This window comes from Homo sapiens, chromosome 6 (assembly GCF_000001405.40).
Source record: "Homo sapiens chromosome 6, GRCh38.p14 Primary Assembly".
NCBI lineage: Eukaryota > Metazoa > Chordata > Mammalia > Primates > Hominidae > Homo > Homo sapiens.
The window spans coordinates 108393861-108414625 of record NC_000006.12 but is presented as its reverse complement, the minus strand read 5'-3'; the positions used below and the strand labels follow the sequence as shown (position 1 = coordinate 108414625).

The window sequence follows — 20765 nt, the reverse complement described above, 5'->3', positions numbered from 1 at the left end:
TTTGTGTATGTTGAACCAGCCTTGCATCCCAGGGAAGAAGCCAACTTGATCATGGTGGATAAGCTTTTTGATGTGCTGCTGGATTCGGTTTGCCAGTATTTTATTGAGGAGTTTTGCATCGATCTTCATCAGGGATATTGGTCTAAAATTCTCTTTTTTGTTGTGTCTCTGCCGGGCTTTGGTATCAGGATGATTTTGGCCTCATAAAATGAATTAGGGAGGATTCCCTCTTTTTCTATTAATTGGAATAGTTTCAGAAGGAATGGTACCAGATCCTCTTTGTACCTCTGGTAGAATTCGGCTGTGAATCCATCTGGTCCTGGACTTTTTTGGGTTGGTAGGCTATTAATTTTTGCCTCAATTTCAGAACCTGTTATTGGTCTATACAAGGATTCAACTTCTTCCTGGTTTAGTCTTGGTAGGGTGTATGTGTCCAGGAATTTATCCATTTCTTCTAGATTTTCTAGTTTATTTGCATAGAGGTGTCTATAGTATTCTCTGATGGTAGTTTGTATTTCTGTGGGATCGGTGGTGATGTCCCATTTATCATTTTTTATTGTGTCTATTTGATTCTTCTCTCTTTTCTTCCTTATTAGTCTTGCTAGTGGTCTATCAATTTTGTTGATCCTTTCAAAAAATAAGCTCCTGGATTCATTGATTTTTTTGAAGGGTTTTTTTTGTGTCTCTATCTCCTTCAGTTCTGCGCTGTTCTTAGTTATTTCTTGCCTTCTGCTAGCTTTTGAATGTGTTTGCTCTTGCTTCTCTAGTTCTTTTAATTGTGATGGTAGGGTGTCAATTTTAGATCTTTCCTGCTTTCTCTTGTGGGCATTTAGTGTTATAAATTTGCCTCTACACACTGCTTTGAATGTGTCCCAGAGATTCTGGTATGTTGTGTCTTTGTTCTCGTTGGTTTCAAAGAACATCTTTATTTCTGCCTTCATTTTGTTATGTACCCAGTAGTTCATTCAGGAGCAGGTTGTTCAGTTTCCATGTACTTGAGTGGTTTTGAGTGAGTTTCTTAGTCCTGAGTTCTAGTTTGATTGCACTGTGGTCTGAGAGACAGTTTGTTGTAATTTCTGTTCTTTTACATTTGCTGAGGAGTGCTTTACTTCCAACTATGTGGTCAATTTTGGAATAAGTGTGATGTGGTGCTGAGAACAATGTATATTCTGTTGATTTGGGGTGGAGAGTTCTGTAGATGTCTATTAGGTCTGCTTGGTGCAGAGCTGAGTTCAGTTCCTGGATATCCTTGCTAACTTTCTGTCTTGTTGATCTGTCTAATGTTGACAGTGGGGTGTTAGAGTCTCCCATTATTATTATGTGGGAGTCTAAGTCTCTTTGTAGGTCTCTAAGGACTTGCTTTATTAATCTGGGTGCTCCCGTATTGAGTGCATACATATTTAAGATAGTTAGCTCTTCTTTTTGAATTGATCCCTTTACCATTATGTAATGGCCTTCTTGCTCTCTTTTGATCTTTGTTGGTTTAAAGTCTGTTTTATGAGAGACTAGGATTGCAACCCCTGCTTTTTTTTTGTTTTCCATTTGCTTGGTAGATCTTCCTCCATCCTTTTATTTTGAGCCCATGTGTGTCTCTGCACCTGAGATGGGTTTCCTGAATACAACACACTGATGGGTCTTGAATCTTTATCCAATTTGCCAGTCTGTGTCTTTTAATTGGAGCATTTAGCCCATTTACATTTAAGTTTAATATTGTTGTGTGTGAAATTGATCCTGTCATTATGATGTTAGCTGGTTATTTTGCTCATTAGTTGATGCAGTTTCTTCCTAGCCTTGATGGTCTTTACAATTTGGCATGATTTTGCAGTGGCTGGTACCAGTTGTTCCTTTCCATGTTTAGTGCTTCCTTCAGGAGCTCTTTTAGGGCAGGCCTGGTGGTGACAAAACCTGTCAGCAGTTGTTTGTCTGTAAAGGATTTTATTTCTCCTTCACTTATGAAGCTTAGTTTGGCTGGATATAAAATTCTGGGTTGAAAATTCTTTTCTTTAAGAATGTTGAATATTGGCCCCCACTCTCTTCTGGCTTGAAGGATTTCTGCTGAGAGATCCGCTGTTAGTCTGATGGGCTTCCCTTTGTGGGTAACCCAACCTTTCTCTCTGGCTGCCCTTAACATTTTTTCCTTCATTTCAACTTTGGTGAATCTGACAATTACGTGTCTTGGAGTTGCTCTTCTCGAGGAGTATCTTTGTGGCGTTCTCTGTATTTCCTGAATTTGAATGTTGGCCTGCCTCACTAGGTTTGGGAAGTTCTCCTGGATAATACCCTGAAGAGTATTTTCCAACTTGGTTCCATTCTCCCCGTCACTTTCAGATACACCAATCAGATGTAGATTTGGTCTTTTCACATAGTCCCATATTTCTTGGAGGCTTTGTTTGTTGCTTTTTACTCTTTTTTCTCTAAACTTCTCTTCTGGCTTCATTTCATTCATTTGATCTTCAATCACTGATACCCTTTCTTCCACTTGATCAAATCGGCCATTGAAGCTTGTGCATGCATCACATAGTTCTCGTGCCATGGTTTTCAGCTCCATCAGGTCATTTAAGGACTTCTCTGAACTGTTTTTTCTAGTTAGACATTCATCTAATCTTTTTTCAAGGTTTTTAGCTTCTTTGAGATGGGTTCAAACATCCTCCTTTAGCTTGGAGAAGTTTTGTTATTACCGATTGTCTGAAGGCTTCTTCTCTCAAGTCATCAAAGTCATTCTCTGTCCAGCTTTGTTCCGTTGCTGGCGAGGAGCTGCGTTCCTTTGGAGGAGAAGAGGCGCTCTGATTTTTAGCATTTTCAGCTTCTCTGCTCTGGTTTCTCCCCATCTTTGTGGTTTTATCTACCTTTGGTCTTTGATGATGGCAACATACAGATGGGGTTTTGGTGTGGATGTCCTTTCTGTTTGTTAGTTTTCCTTCTAACAGTCAGGACTCTCAGCTGCAGGTCTGTTGGAGTTTGCTGGAGGTCCACTCCAGACCCTGTTTGCCTGGGTATCAGCAGCAGAGGCTGCAGAACAGCAAATATTGCAGAACGGAAAATGTTGCTGCCTGATCCTTCCTCTGGAAGCTTCGTCTCAGAGGGGCACCCAGCTGTATGAGGTGTCAGTCGGGCCCTACTGAGAGGTGTCTCCCAGTTAGGCTGGGAGTCAGAGACCCACTTGAGAGGCAGTCTGTCCATTCTCAGATCTCAAACTCCGTGCTGGGAGAACCCCTACTCTCTTGAAAGCTGTCAGACAGGGACTTTTAAATATACAGAAGTTTCTGCTGCCTTTTATTCAGCTATGCCCTGCCCCCAGAGGTGGAGTCTACAGAGGCAGGTAGGCCTCCTTGAGCTGCGATGGGCTCCACCCAGTTCGAGCTTCCAGGACGCTTTGTTTACCTACTCAAGCCTCTGCAATGGCAGATGCCCCTCCCCCAGCCTCGCTGCCACCTTGCAGTTCAATCTCAGACTGCTGTGCTAGCAGTGAGCAAGGCTCCATGGGCATGGGACCCTCCAAGCCAGGCACAGGATATAATCTGGTGTGCCGTTTGCTAAGGCCGTTGGAAAAGCGCAGTATTTGGGTGGGAGTGTCCCGATTTTCCAGGTACCGCCTGTCATGGCTTCCCTTTGCTAGGAAAGGGAATTCCCTGACCCCTTGCACTTCCTGGGTGAGGCAATGCCCCACCCTGGTCCAAGGACTGCACCCACTGTCTGACAAGCCCCAGTGAGATGAACCCGATACCTCAGTTGGAAAGGCAGAAATCACCCGTCTTCTGCATTGCTTACACTGGGAGCTGTAGACTGGATCTGTTCCTATTTGGCCATCTTCAACCTCCTAGGGCCCCTTTATTTTTTAGCATCCTTTAGTTAACTCAATTACAGAAGTTCTCACATAATATGATAAAAATTTTTATTGTCTGACTTACAGATCGGAAGAAGACAATGTTTAGTCAGATTCAATGACCACCAATATTTTCTTACCACAATATCTCCATTTATATTATTAATTTTGACTGGTGGTATAAAATCTTAAAGTTGTTTATTCAGGAAACTTCACTAAGGACTATAAATCCTAAATTATCATATATCCAAAACATATATCTGTGGGCGTAGAGGTACATGACAGCCTAGCTGACCAGATGTCACATTTTTAAAAAACTGAATTTAGTAAAAACTCTTCTCTTCTCTTCTAGTATCTACTTGCAGTTTACAAGCCTCAGACCAGCTTGACTTCTTTTCCCAATGATTTTTCTTCCATATGATTGTAAGATTCTTTTTATAATCCTTCAGGTTCAGGTTCAGTTGTGCATCAAAAAATTTATGATCTTTTTTTTTTTGGAAGACAGAGTCTCGCTCTTGCCCAGGCTGGAGTGCAGTGGCACAATCTTGGCTCACTGCAACCTCTGCCCCCCAGGTTCAAGCTATTCTCCTGCCTTAGCCTTCCAAGTAGCTGGGATTACAGGCACCCACCTCATGGCTGGCTAATTTTTTTGTATTTTTAGTAGAGATGGGGTTTCACCATGTTAGCCAGGCTGGTTTCGAAATCCTGACCTCAAGTAATCCACCTGCCTCGGCCTCCCAAAGTGCTAGGATTACAGGTGTGAGCCACTGCGCCCAGCCAAAAATGTATGATTCTTGATGGGGGGATCATACAATAGGAAATAAACAATGAACACTTTGAATCTAGACTTTCAACCTAACTTTCTTTCATGAAAGTTTTCTTCTGATTTATCTTTGTGTTTTCTTTTTTAGAAATATGAGTTATGTGAATGTATGATCTCTGCTGTCTGCTTTCCATATCTAGCATTTTTTTCTGCAGTAGTTTTCATGTCTGATTATTCCAGCATCATTTTATATGATCTTTCATAAGTTTGGGCTCTGTATCACTGATTTTATTTTCAGCAGTGTTGATTCTATCATCTGCTTTTTCTAAGATGCTTTTTCTTTTCTTAATGGTCTGCTCTCAGTTTATTTGAGAGCTGCTCTGCCAGCTCACTTATCATCTAATCTTATAATTATTTCATGTCTAATCTCTTATGTCATCAGTACCATGACTACTTTAATTTCTCTTAGAATATAGAAAATTTTACCTGAAAAATTCTCCCATTTCCTGAGGTAGTTCTTCCTCCAAAATATATCTATCACGTGCTTTTACTTGTTAGTTCATCTCTGCCTCTCCCCCCGCTCCTGCTCCTTCCTCCCTGTGCCTGCCATCCCATTTATTTTTGTAATAATGGTCTCTACAGATAGGACCCATGTTCAATCCATTTTGCTTTTTGCTGATTTCTCAACTTTGATTGTGAGTTCTCCTAGTCAGGTCTGCTGATTTCCAAAGAGGAGTGAGCAAAATTCACCTGTTCAAAAATGGTTTTCATTATAAAAATAATACAAGATCATTCCAGAAATCTTAGAAAAGTCTAAAAGAGAAAATTTAAATCACTCATAATCTTAATATCCAGAAATATATTCTATTAACATTTTGGGATATTTCTTTCCAGTATTTTTTGATGCATGTGTATTATTTCCACAGTTGAGATAGGAATAGATGTACCCTTGCATCATACTTTTCCACTCACGTTATCTGTAAGCATTATTCTACATTATCGAAAGCTTTTGAAAAATATTCCGTATAACTGTTATATCCCCTCATGTGACTGCATCATCATTTACCTAACTGTTCCTCTAAATGTGTGAGAGAAAGCTGAAACAAAATTCCTGTGCCCACAACTGTCTTTTTATTGTTATCCTATTTATTTTTTTGTTTCTATGATAAAATATGGCTCTAAGTTCCTAAATTACTAAAAAAAAAGAAAAAAGAAAAAAAACCTGATCTTCTTTTCCTTTATAACTAAAAACTAAGAAAGAGATTTATGCTTTTGGCCAAGGCAGAGTAATTGGAACTGGATTTTGCCCTTCTGTAATAAATAACTAAAACACTGGACAAAACATGTGAACCAGCTGATACCAGACATTACGTAATAGGTAGCAAAAGACAGCAATCCCTGAGATATGAGGGAAAAAAATCAGGCAAGCAAGCTGGCCATATTCCCTGGCTTTCTATCTAGAGGCAATTTCTAGACTGCAATAGAACAATCTAAATGAGTTGAAGAGACAGTCCTCAGAGTTTTGGGATGCTGAAACAGTTGGAATTTGCACAGTAGAGTTCAGCACAGGAAAATGCTATGCAAAAGAAAAGCTCCAGATATCTGCATAGGGAATGTAATCTTTGGCTGAATAACAAATTGCATATGCAGAGTTGGGCAAAGAACAATACACATAATCTGGGAGATATAAGCATTCTGATATAGTCAAAGCTGAAATACCTCAATGAATACCACAGGGATTCAGTAAAGAGCTTAGAAAGGTCCTAAAACCTAACACCTAGAAGGGCTAAAACAGACCTGGAATAATGGCTAATCTACATTCACCCTATCAAAGTTTAAAAATAAGCCTCACGCCACTGCACTCCAGCCTGGGCAACAGAGTGAGACGCCTGCACAGGGAAAAAAAAAAAAAAAGCCTCAAAAAGATCAACCTGATCTGCAAGAAACTTAACCACTTGCCAAAATAAAATTTGACACCCTTAAAGGAAGTAACAGACTCAATGTAATAATCACTAAATGCAGCATCCAATCATAACTTACTTGACTTGCAAAGAAGCAGGAAAATAGGACTCACAACCAGGGGGAAAAAATCAAACCATAGAAACATAACCAGAAATGATGGAATTAGCAGACAAGGACCTTAAATAAGCTGACTTCTGCTTCTGGGAAGATGGAGATGTACTTTTCCCTATCCCTCCTCATATGTACAATCTGGAAATTATATATAAAAGAAACATCAGGAGACCCTGAAAAGTAGAAAGAAGGAAAAACAGCTAGACCTGTTCAAGACCTGAAGAACAACAGATGGTGAGGTTCCCTCCTGTGGGATTGATTTTTTTTTTTTTTTAATTTCCAGAGACAGGGTATTGCTTTGTTGCCCAGGCTGGAGTACAGTGACACAATGATGGCTCACTGCAGCCTCTACCTCCTGGCCTTGTGTGAGCCTCCTGCCTCAGCTTCCCAAGTAGCTTGGAGGACAGGTACACACCGCAATGCCTAGCTAATTTAAAAAAAATTCTTTTTTGTAAAGATGGGCACTCACTATGTTGCTCAGGCTGGTCTCAAACTCTTGGCCTCAAGCGATTCTCCCATGTTGGCCTGCCAAAGCACTGGGATTACAAGTGTGAGCCACAGGGTTTATCTTTGACTCATATATCCCAGACTTAGAGCTAAAGAAGCCAGCAACCCAGAAATGCCGATGGAAATATACAAATGAGGCCCCCATAAAAGTCTGTTCTCTTTAGCCAAAGGAGCAGGAAAAGGGCAACTTAACAAAACGTAAAACTTTTAGACAATAACTGTTCTAACTAAAGCAAATACCACAGAGAAAAACTGTAGCTCCACCTCCCCAACCATGCCGGCAAAGGCTAAGGGAAGCCTAGAATTCCACCCTCATAAGGCTGTCATGAGGAATCCCAACACCACTGCCAGGGTGATGTCACAGAAGGCCAAGTAGGAACTGGAACTTTCATCCCAGCCAACCAGTAATGAGCATCCTCCTCCCACAATGATATCAGTGGAGATCACATGGGAGTCAGAACCCTCTTTCCAGCAGTAACAGGTAACAAGGAGCACACCCCAAACCACAGCTCAGGTGTCAATGGAGGCTGAATAGGGAACCTGGATTTCTAGCTATATCTGGTAGTAAAGGAAGCAAGCAGTGCCTCCCCTTCTCTTGACAGAATAATGTCTAAAAAAAGCTAACTAAAACAGAAAGTTCAAATAAGATCCACAAAGACAAACAGAATAACAATCTATTTTGTAGAATGAGATGTTGCCCAATTTGAAAAAAGAGAAGATAAGGCCAGGCACAGTGGCTCACACCTGTAATCTCAGCATTTTGGGAGGCTGAGGTGGGCGGATCACCTGAGGTCAGGAGTTTGAGACCAGCCTGGCCAACATGGTGAAACCCCATCTCTACCAAAAATACAAAAATTAGCTGGGTGTGGTGGCATGTGCCTGTAATCCCAGCTACTCGGGAGGCTGAGGAATGAGAATCACTTGAACCCAGGAGGCAGATGTTGCAGTGAGCCAAGATCATGCCACCGCACTCCAGCCTGTGTGACAGAGCAAGACTCCATCTCAGTCAATCAATCAGTCAATCAATAAAATAAGCACATGAAAAGTTACTCAATATCATTAATCATTTGGGAAATGCAAATCAAAGCCATAATGAGATATCACTTCACACCCACTGGGATGGTTATTATCAAAAAAAAAAAAAAAGGAAAAAGAAAATAAGTGATAAGTGTTGGGGAAAATGCAGAGAAACTGGAATGCTTGTGTATTGCTGATGGGAACGTAATATGGTACAGCCGCTATGGAAAACAGTATGGCAGTTCCTCAAGAAATTAAACATATAATTACCATAAGATGTAGCAATTTAAGTTCTGGGTATGTACACAAAAGAATTGAAAGCAGGGACTCAAACAGATATTTGTACACAAATGTTCGAAGCAGCAATATTCATAATAGCTGAAAGGTAGAAACAACCCAAATGCCCATTGGCAGGTGAACGGATAAACAAAATGTGGCATATCCTTACAATAGAATATTATTATGCCATAAAAAGGATTAGAATTCTGACACATGTTACAACATGCATAAACTTTGGAGACAATGTGCTAAGTGAAATAAGCCAGAAAGAAAAAGACAAATAGTAGGTAATTCCACTTACATGAAGTATCTAGAAAAGACAAATTCACAGAGGCAGACAGCAGAATGGTGGTAATCAGGGTTGGGAAAGGGGGACAATGGGTGGTTATCATTTAGTGAGTACAGAGTTTCATTTTGATAAGATGAAAAATGCTGGAGATGAATCATGGTGGTGCTTGTACAACAATGTGAATGCACTTAATGCCACTGAACTGTACCCTTAAAAATCATTAAAATAGGCCAGGTGTGGTGACTCTTGCCTGTAATCCCAACACTTTGGGAGGTGGAGGCAGGCAAATCACTTGAGTTCAGGAGTTTGAGACCAGCCTGGGAAACATAGTGAAACCCTGTCTCTACAAAAAATACAAAAATTAGCTGGGCATGGTGGAATACGCCTATAGTCCCAGCTACTCAGGAGGCTGGGGCAGGAGGATCACCTGAGCCTGGGGAGGTTGAGGCTGCAGTAAGCTATGATTGTGCCACTGCACTCCAGCCTAGGCAACAGCGTGAGACCCTGTCTCAAAATGTATTAAAATAGTAATTTTTGTTATGTATATTTTGCCACAATAAAAAATTTGGTTAAAACATTAAGATTCAAAGTCTCATGACAAATTATGAAAATGCCAGCTTCCATTGTAAATCACTTATACCAAAAATCAGGAAGACCTCAAACTGAATGTAAAGAAATGGCAACATCAAGATGGCAGAGACGTTAGAATTATCTGATAAAGATTTTAAAGCAGTCATGATAACAATGTTTCAAGAGACGGTTACAAATACACTTGAAAAGGAGCAATGCTACTCAATAATATTTAAAAGCTCCATTCACAAGCAGTATTTAACTACTGTAAATCTGGCCAGGTGTGGTGGCTAACACCTGTACTCCCAGCACTTTGGGAGGCCAAGGCAGGCAGATCACTTGAGGTCAGGAGTTTGAGACCAGCCTGGCCAACATGGTGAAACCCCATCTCTACTAAAAATACAAAAATTAGCCTGGTGTGGTGGTGTGTGCACTTGTAGTCCCAGCTACTCAGGAGGCTAAGGCAGGAAAATTGCTTGAACCTGGGAGGCAGAGGTTGCAGTGAGCCAATATTGTACGACTGCACTCTAGCCTGGGTGACAGAGCAAGACTCTGTCTCAAAATAAATAAATAAATAAATAAAATAATTATTATAAATCTGTATGCAACTTATAACATAGCCTCCAAATATGTAAGGCAAATGACAGAATTACAAGAAAAATAGACAAATTCACAATTATAGTGAGAGATGTATCCCCTAAGTCTCTCAGTAATTGATAGGAAAAAAAATATGAGAATAAAGATTTGAACAGCATAATTAACAAACCTACACAATAATACAAAACAACCGAAGAGTACTCACTATTTTGAAGAAATATTTTAAAGAAAATATTTACAAAAATTGTCCACATGTTGGGCCATAAAGCAGGCTTTACTAAGAGCTTATATACATTTTTGTTATTTTTCAATATCCCAAGCAACAAACCACAAGCTTCTGTGGTGAATTACAAACTTATAACTATTTGGTTTATAGAGAAGAACATTTTTTAAAATGAATTTTACAATATACTTTTTCCTCAACAAATTTCTATCTTGTTTATAATAATTTCTTTTTATTAAACTAAGATTCTCAATTTGTTTTAAGATTGACTTTTGCTATACCTTTCTCTCAGCTAGGCCAGAATGAAGAAGTAACACTAGCATCTGTGAAGAGGCAAAAAGTCACTTAAGTTAATATTAAACTACCTTTCCTTACAAAAGAAACTTTATATGCCCAAACAGAAAAGCTTCAGAGAAACCAGCTCTAGTTTTCATTTCATTGATGTTTTGTCATATACGAAAAGTCTCTTGAATAAATTAGATATTTTAGACCTTTTCTCATCTAATCTGGTATTTAGTTTCCTGGGAAGTTCAGTCCATGTTCAACTTTAAATTGTATATTATATCTCTCAGTTCATGTTCACTTTCAAATTGTTACTATTCATTTTGCCTATTAATACTGCTATTATATATTGAAGTATGACTAATTACTGGCCAAAGAAAACAACAACAAAATATTTGGAGGAAAAAAAAAAAAGTACAGCTACAAAGTTGTTCCCTCAGAACCCCTTAACTTGTTTCTTTCTGAGACTTCTCTTTTTATATTTTGTGTATTTTATGCTATATGAAGACACTATTTTTAGCACCTATTTTTCCTAGCTTCCTCTTTATATTTTGGTATCTGTGTATACCATATTACTTTGGATTCCTAGCATGGAGAAAACGTTGCAAGTCTATGTCCTCCCTAAATGCAAAGCATGAATATAAAGGGAAAAAAATTACTAACAGCATAAATCTTCCAAAAGTACTTTTCCTACATCTATAAATATCTCTGAGAAATTAAAATCCTTGGGAACCTAAAATTGGTCAAGGAAACAGATGTTTGAATTCTCCTAAGTATAGCATAGGGAATAAAGTTTGGCACGAACAGTAATTCCAACCAAAGTACACGTCAAAAAGATTGTCTGATTATGTCTTTAGCATGTCTGAAGGTAAAACATTTTAACCCTTCTTGGGTAAGAATTTTTAAGGTTTCAAGTTTTAAAAAATTCTTTATCCTTTCTTCAGATTTGTTGATGTGCATGGGGAGAAAGTATTTATCTAAAATTATGGGAATTATATTTTGGCAAATTTTGCTTTCTCTTATAGGGATTTTTTTATATATTTTACATCCTCAACTAGATTATAAATAATGTGCCAGAAAAACAGCTTAGTTCATAATTCTATTATCCATTATGCCTAATGCAACACATTGTACATAGTAGGTTCTTAATAAATATTGGCAGAATGTGAAATCATTAAATAATCATGTAAAATATTACTTAAAATTAATAGTAAAAAAGGAGGCTATTTTATTCTTAATCATATTGTAATGAAGACTATTTTAAACTCTATGCAGTGATGATACACACAAATATTTAAACAATTTATGTGCCTCAACTTGACATAATTTCATAACTTGATGGCAATCACATTTAAATATATTAGAATATTTTTGTAATAATGCTATTCTAGAATAGCAACTTTAATAGCTGGGAAAACATGTTAATAATGGCCATTAACCTGAAGGAAACAGGGAACATTAAACATTTTTTTCAGAAATAAATGTATAAGTTTAAATATTCCACTATAATATTTATGAGCATACCTCAATTTAAAATTTATAAAATGCAAACTATTCAATGTTTCAGTTAGAGAATAATTTAGACTATATTTTGTAATTTTTTCAGTGTACACATGGATGAATATTATATCAAAAGATTCTTTTCTCCTTTAGTGTCTTTGACTGTTACTATCTAGAGAAGAGGTTTTGCCGTGTTGCCCTGGCAAGTCTCCTTTTTTTTTTTTTTTTTTTTTTTATTCGAGACGGCGTCTCGCCCTGTCACCCAGGCTAGAGTGTAGTGGCGTGATCTCGGCTCACTGCAACCTCCGCCTCCAGGGTTCAAATGATTCTCCTGCCTCAGCCTCCCCAAGTAGCTGGGATTACAGGTGCATGCCACCACACCCAGCTAATTTTTGTATCTTTAATAGAGACGGGGTTTCACCATGTTGGTCAGGTTGGTCTTGAACTCCTGACCTTGTGATCCGCCCACCTTGGCCTCCCAAAGTGCTGGGATTAAAGGCATGAGCCACCGTGCCCGGCCCCTGACTATTACTATCTAAATGCCAAAATAAATTCTGCTTGAATGCCAAGACTAAGACAATCCTACTAAAGCCCTTGATTATCAATAAGTATGATCTTAGTAAACACAAATAAATGATTTGTTTTTACCTTCAAGACTGCTATGAATGGTACAAAGTTAGCTCTTTGGAGTCCATTTTTATAGAGATCTGAAAGAAAAAAATGATATTAGTTTTTTGCTTAGCCTAAATCATGATGTTAATTTATCGTTTAGCCTGGCAAATAAAGCTTTCTACTGATTAAAAAAAAAGATAAAGGAGCAAAAAGAAAAAAAGACCAAAATTGATTTCTCTTTGGGTCCTACACACATTTTATTATAATTTTAATAAAAGAAAAAAATTAACAGCCACAGAAAGAAGATCAAAAGGTATTCAATCAAATTAGTTTTAAACTGTAATGAGACAATAAAAGAATTTGGAAAGTATCACTTCCAAAATTCAAAATCAATAACCCAATATGAGAAGATTAGATATCAAGCATTTAATACTTGAATATATAGAATTCTACTATAAAAAAAATTCTCTCCTTTTCTCAATCTATAATGAAAATTCTTAGTAAAGAACTTGGACGGGCTCAGTAGCTCATGCCTGTAATCCTAGCACTTTGGGGAGGCCACTTGAGGTCAGGAGTTCGAGATCAGCCTGGCCAACACGGTGAAACCCCAACTCTACTAGAAATACAAAAATACAAAAATTAGCCAGGCGGCCGGGCGCGGTGGCTCACGCCTGTAATCCCAGCACTTTGGGAGGCCGAGGCGGGTGGATCATGAGGTCAGGAGATCGAGACCATCCTGGCTAACAAGGTGAAACCCCGTCTCTACTAAAAATACAAAAAATTAGCCGGGCGCGGTGGCGGGCGCCTCTAGTCCCAGCTACTCGGGAGGCTGAGGCAGGAGAATGGCGTGAACCCGGGAAGCGGAGCTTGCAGTGAGCCGAGATTGCGCCACTGCAGTCCGCAGTCCGGCCTGGGCGACAGAGCGAGACTCCGTCTCAAAAAAAAAAAAAAAAAAAATTAGCCAGGCATGGTGTTGGGAACTGTAAGCCCAACTACTCAGAGGGTGAGGGAGGAGAATCACTTGAACCAGGGAGGTGGAAGTTACAGTTAGCCAAGATCACACCACTGCACTTCAGCCTGGGTGACAGAGCAAGACTGTCTCAAAAAAAAAGAAAAAAAGAATTAAACATTGAGTAATAAGGTTAGCCTTTTTAGAAAATACATCAACAGAATTGCTCATGTATTTGCATTATATATATTTGCATTATATATAAATATATATTTTATATATTATATATATTTGCATTATATATAAATATATATTTTATATATTATATATATTTATTATATATTATATAATTTTATATATAACATATATTATAAATATATAACATATATAATATCATATATAATATATATTATATATAATATATATTAAATATATATAATAATATATATATAATTATATAATATATAATATATAAATTATATATATTATACATAAATTATAATTTATATAAATTATTTTATATAAATTATTATATATAAATATATAAATTATATATTATAATAATAAATATATATTTATATAAATATATAATGCAAATTATATTATATATTTGATATCAAGGTTTTAAAAAGTCACTTTAAGTGAAATTGCCTAAAAATTAAAACTCCATTCTTTGAAGGACAAAAACCATATAATAATTTCAATTGATGCCGAAAAATTATCTGATAAAGCTCAATATCCCTTCATACTAAAAACCCTCAGAAAACTAGGTATAGAAATAACGGACCTCAACATAATAAAAACTATATATGACAGACCCACAGCTAGTATCATACGAAATGGGGGAAAACTGAAAGCCTTTTCTCTTAGATCTGGAACATGACAAACTATGCCCACTTTCACCATTGTTATTCAACATAGTACTAGATGTCTGAGCTAAAGCAATCACATGAGAAAGAAATAAAGGGCTTCCAAATTGGAAAGGAAAAGGAAACAGTCAAATTATCCTTGTTTGCAGGTGACACGAGCTTATATTTGGAAAAACCTAAAGATTTCCCAAGAGGGCTGGGCATAGTGGCTCACACCTGTAATCCTAGCACTTTGGGAGGCCGAGCCAGGTGGATCCCTTGAGTCCAGGAGTTCAGGACCAGCCTGAGCAACATGGCAAAATCCCATCTCCACAAAAAATACAAAAATTAGCCAGGCGTGGTGGCATGTGCCTGTAGCCCCAGCTACTCAGGAAGTTGAGGTGGAAGGATCACTTGAGCCTGGGAGGCAGAGGCTGCAGTGGGCCAAGATCTTGCCACTGCACTCCAGCCTGGGCAACAGAATGAGACCTTATCTCAAAAAAAAAAAAAAAAAAAAAAAAAAAGAGAGATACTTCCACACCCCACCCCAGCCTCCCCAGTAGCTGGGACTATAGGCACATGACACCATGCCCAGTATTTTAAAAAAAAAAAAAAAAAAAGGAAAACTATTAGAACTGATAAACAAATTCAGTAAAGTTGCAGGACACAAAATCAACATAACAAAAATCAGTAGCATTTATATATGCCAGCAGTAAACAATATGAAAAACAAATTTAAAAAATAATCCCATTTACAACAGTCACAAATAAAATCAAATACCTAGGAATTAACCAAAGAAGTGAAAGATGGCCAGGCGCTGTGGTGCATGCCTGTAATCCCAGCACTTTGGGAGGTCGAGGCAGGCAGATCATGAGGTCAAGAGATCGAGACCATCCTGGCCAACACGGTGAAACCCTGTCTCTCCAAAAACTACAAAAATTAGTGGGGTGTGGTGGCACGCACCTGTTGTCCCAGCTACTCAGGAGGCTGAGGCAGGGAAATCGCTTGAACCCAGGAGGCGGAGGTTGCAGTGAGTTGAGATTCTGCCACTGCACTCCAGCCTGGCGACAGAGTGAGACTCCGTCTCAAAAAAAAAAAAAAAAAAAAAAAAAAAACAAACAAAAGAAGTGACAGATCTTTGCAATAGAAACTATAAAACACTGATGAAAGAAATTAAAGAGGGCACAAACACAAAAATGGAAAGCTATTCCGTATTCATAGATTGGAAGAATCAATATTGTTAAAATGCTCATACTATCCAAAGCAATCTACAGATTCAATGCAATCCCCACCAAAGTCACAATGCCATTCTTCACAGAAATAGAAAAAGCAATCCTAAAATTTATATGGAATCAGAAAAGATCCAAAATAGCCAAAGCTCTCCTGAGTAAAAATAACAAAACTGCAGAAATCACAATACCTGACTTCACACTATACTACAAAGCTATAGACAAAAACAGCATGGTACTGGCACAAAAACAGACACATAGACCAACAGAACAAAATAGAGAACCCAGAAACAAATCCACATACCTACAGTGAACACATTTTTGACAAAGGTGCCAAGAATACACACTGGGGAAAAGACCATCTCTTCATTAAACAGTGCTGGAAAAACTGGATATCCATATGCAGAAGAATGAGACTAGACCCCTATCTCACCTTATAGAAAAATAAAATAAAAATAAAGACTTAAATTTAAGACTTCAAATTATGAAACTACTGTAAGAAAACATTGGGGAAACTCTCCAGGACATTGGTCTGAGCAAAAATTTCTTGAGTCATACTTCACAAGCACAGACAACCAAAGCAAAAATGAACAAATGGGATCACATCAGGTTAAAAAGCTTCTGCACAGCAAAGGAAACAGCTGGCAAAGTGAAGAGACAACCCACAGAATGGGAGAAAATATTTGCAAACTACTCATCTGGCAAGGGATTAATAACCAGAATATATAAGAAGCTCAAATAACTCTATAGGGAAAAAATCTAATAAATCTGATTAAAAGATGGGCAAAAGATTTGAATAAACATTTCTTAAAAGAAGACATACAAATAGCAAACAGGCAAACAAAAAAGTGCTCAACATCATTGATCATAAGAGAAATGCAAATCAAAACTACAATGAAGTATCATCTCACCCCAGTTAAAATGGCTTTTAAACAGACAGGGAATAACAAACACTGCTGAGGACGCAGAGAAAAGGGAACCCTCAATACTCTATTGGTGGGAATGTAAATTAGTACAACCACTATGGAGATGAGTTTGCAGGTTCCTCAAAACACTAAAAAAAGAGCTACTACATGATCCAGCAATCTCACTGCTGGGTATATATCCAAAAGAAAGGAAATCAGTACATCAAAGATATATCAGCACACTCATGTTTGTTACAGCACTGTTCACAATAACCAAGATTTTGAAGCAACCTAAGTGTCCATCAACAGATGAATGGATAAAGAAAATGTGTTATTTATACAAAGTGGAGTACTATTCTGCCATAAAAAAGAATGGAACTTGCAACAACATGGATGAAACTGGAGGTCATTGGGTTAAGTGAAATGAGCCAGGCACAGAAAGACAAACATCGCATATTCTCACTTATTTGTAGTATCTGAAAGTCAAAACAATTAAACTCACAGAGAATAGAAGGATGGTCACCAGAGGCTGGGAAGGGTAGTGGGGGATGGGGGAAGGTGGGGATGGATAATGGGTACAAAAAAAATAGAAAGAATAAAAAAGGCGGAGCGTCATGGCTCATGCCTATAATCCCAGCACTTTGGGAGGCCGAGGTGGGCGGATCACTTGAGGTCAAGAGTTTGAGACCAGCCTGGCCAACATGGTGAAATCCCGTCTCTACTAAAAATACAAAAATCAGCCAGGGCTCACGCCTATAATCCCAGCACTTTGGGAGGCCAAGGGGGCGTGGATCACCTGAGGTCAGGAGTTCGAGACCAGCCTGGCCAACATAGTGAAATCCTGTCTTTACTAAAAATACAAAAATCAGCCAGGTGTGGTGGCACACGCCTGTTATCCCAGCTACTTGGGAGACTGAGGCAGGAGAATCGCTTGAACCCAGAAGGTGGAGATTGCAAAAAAAAATTAGCCAGGCATGGTGGTGTGCACCTGTAATCCCAGCTACTCAGGAGGCTGAGGCAGGAGAATTGCTTGAACCTGGGAGGCAGAGGTTGCAGTGAGCTGAGACCACGCCACTGCCCTCCAGCCTGGGCAACAGAGCAAGACTTTGTCTCAAAAAACAAACAAAAACAAAAAAGAATGAATGAAAAAGGCCTAGTATTTGACAGCACAACAGAATTATTATAGTTCAATAATAATTTAATTGTACATTTAAAATAACTAATAGAGTATAATGGATTGTTTGTAATACAAAGGATACGTGCTTGAGAGGATGGTATATCCAGTTTTCCATGATGTGAATATTACCAAATAATCTCATACCTGTACCAAAATATCTCACATACCTCATAAAGATATACACCTACTATGGCCTGGGTGCAGTGGCTCAAGCCTGTAATCCCAGCACTTTGGGAGGCTGAGGCAGGTGGATCATTTGAGGTCAGGAGTTCAAGACCAGCCTGGCCAACATGGTGAAACTCCATCTCAACTAAAAATACAAAAATTAGCTGGGGGTGGTGGCGAGTACCTGTAATCCCAGTTACCTGGGAGGCTGAGGTAGGAGAATAGCTTGAACCCGGGAGGTGGAGGTTGCAGTGAGCCAAGATTGCACCACTGCACTCCAGCCTGAGCGAAAGAGTGAGACTCTGCCTCAAAAAAAACAAAACAAAACAAAAAAAAGATATATACCCACTATGTATCCACAGAAAATTTTAAAACTATTTCTTAAAAACTCTTAATAAGCTGTAAATATAATGCAATTATATCATAAACAGGTAGTATTTATTGCCTTAGGAAGATGTTTTTTAATATACGTAACTGTCACAGTGTAGGTATATTTATACACACATACATGTAAACATATGTATTGTCAAGAACAAATAAATGAAAAGGGACAAGTTTTAAGCTCTTCATATTTTTCTTAAAAAAATGGAGGTTGAAATTTTATTTCATATAAACATTCCTTTTAAAAGTCATTCTATAGGTTGTGCATGGTGGCTCATGCCTGTAATCTCAGCACTTTGAGAGGCCAAGTCGGGAGGATCACTTGAGCCCAGGAGTTCAAGATCAGCCTGGGCAACATAGGGAAACCCCATCTCTACAAAAAAAAAAACAAAAAAACAAAAAACAAACAAACAAACAAAAAAAGACACCTAGCCAAGTGTGGTGGCACACACCTGTGGGCCCAACTACTTGGAAGGTGAGGTAGGAGGATTGCTTGAACCCTGTATGTCGAGGTTGCAGTGAGCTGGATAGTGCCACTGCTCTCCAGCCTGGGTGACCAGCCTGGGTGACAGAGCAAGACTCCATTCTCTCTCTCTCTATCTCTCTCCCTCTCTCTCTCCCTCTCTCTCTCCTTCCCTCCCTCCCTCCCTCTCTACCTATCTCCCTCCCTCCCTCAAGGTCATTCTATAAAGTTATGAGATTTTTAAAATTTTATGAAAATAGATACAGTAGTAGACCTAGCACGCTGGCTCACATTTGTAAATTCCAGCACTTTAGGAGGCCAAGGCGGGTGGATTGTTTGAGCCCAGGAGTTTGAGACCAGCCTGGGCAACATGGTGAAACTCTGTCTGTACAAAAAATAGAAAAATTAGCCTGGAGTGGTGGTACATGCCTGTAGCTTCAGCTACTCAGGAAGATGAGGTGGGAGGCTCACCTGAACCTGAGAGGTTGAGACTGCAGTGAGTCATGATAGTGCCACTGCACTCCAGCCTGGGTGCAGAGTGAGACACTGTCTCAAAAAAAAAAAAAAAAAGAAAAGAAAAGAAAAAAGGAATAGTAAAAAATTTTCAATAATAAAAAACACAGATTATGTGTCTCAATTTTTTTTAAAAAGTATGGCATTATGGGATTTTTTCCATATTTCCTTGTTTAGAGAAAATTCGATAACTATGATAGACTTCAAATGCCACATATACTTATGGAAATAAAATATGGTCATTAGGAAACATTTATTCTCTTTAGAAAAGATTCATCACAACATCATTATAGTAAGCAAAGTATTTGCATAAGCTCTTTGGGTAATTAAAGACTACAGGTTTCAATTTGGTTATATTTAAAAATTTTATTTAGGAATGTCATAAAAGGTAAAATAATGCTGGCCAGGCTATTTAGATTTCAAGATTCAAAATGAGATTTTTTTCTTCCCTATAATAAACACCTCTAATGAGTAAAAGGATTCAAATGCAGGAAATGGGTTTAATGTTAAATATTTTCAGTCTTTCCTAATTGCCAAGTTGCTGAGGAAGGTGGATAAAAACATTGGTGTATGTTAAGAGTTGATAGCCATGATTGTGGGAAGTGGTAAAAATGGAAAATCAGACAATTTTTAAATCATACTCGATGTTTACATCAGCTTTGTTCATAAATAAGCTAAAAACTGCAGCTTTATTTGGGATAACCAAACACATGAAGAAATCTAAATATCCATCATCAGGGGAATGGATAAACAAATTGTGCCATATCTGTACAATGAAATACCACTCAGCAATAAAAAGGATAGACTATCATACACATAGCAAAATAGATTAATCTCAAAATAAGTATGCAGAGTAAAAGAAGCCAGACCAAAAAAATGAGTACATACTATGTGACTCCATTTATATAAAACTCTAGAAAATGCAAACAAATCTATAGCAACAGAAAGCTAATCAGTAGCTGCCTGGGGAAGGGACGACAGGTTTGGTAGTGACAGATAAAAAAAACGGCAAGGCCGGGCATGGTGGCTCATGCCTGTAATTCCATCCCTTTGGGAGGCCAAGGCAGGTGGATCACCTGAGGTCAGGAGTTCAAGACCAGCCTGACCAACATGGTGAAACCCCATCTCTACTAAAAAAAAACAAGATTAGCCGGGTGTAGTAGCACATGCCTGTAATCCCAGCTACTTGGGAGGCTGAGGCAGGGGAATCACTTGAACTCAGGAGGCAAAGGTTGCAGTGAGCCAAGACTGCGCCATTGCCCTCCAGTCTGGGCAACAGAGTGAGACTCTGGAAAGAAAGGAGAGGAGAGGGGAGGGGAGGGGAGGGGAAGGGAAGGGAGGGGAGGGGGAAAGGAAAGAAAAGAGAGAAAGAGAAAAGAGAGAAAAGGAAGGAAAGGAAAGGAGGAGGGAGGGAGGGAAGGGAAGGGGAAGGCGAAAGACAGAGAGAGAAAGAAAGAAGAAGAAAAAGAGAAAAGGGCAAGAGGAAACTTTTTGGGGTGATGGAAATGTTCACTCTATTAGTTGTGGCAATGGTCTCATGAAGGTATACATATGTCAGTATTTTAAAAATTGTATCCTTTAACTATGTGCAGCCTATTAT

General features: G+C 38.5%; 1 protein-coding gene across 12 annotated transcripts in view; it reads right to left on the bottom strand.

The window, feature by feature from the left end:
* The window catches only part of AFG1L (AFG1 like ATPase), a 230948-nt gene that overhangs the window by 111376 nt on the left and 98807 nt on the right, over positions 1-20765 (bottom strand). For 11 of the 12 annotated variants that reach the window (XR_007059229.1, NM_145315.5, NM_001323005.2 and 8 more), the window contains one exon: positions 12572-12630. The exons of the other annotated variant lie outside the window; for it this stretch is intronic. Coding sequence is in view for 10 of the 11 variants with exons in the window: in NM_145315.5 (NP_660358.2) it covers positions 12572-12630 (59 nt within the window). In the remaining variant the exon portion in view is untranslated. The remainder of the gene's footprint in view (positions 1-12571; positions 12631-20765) is intronic. 12 annotated transcript variants of the gene reach the window in all.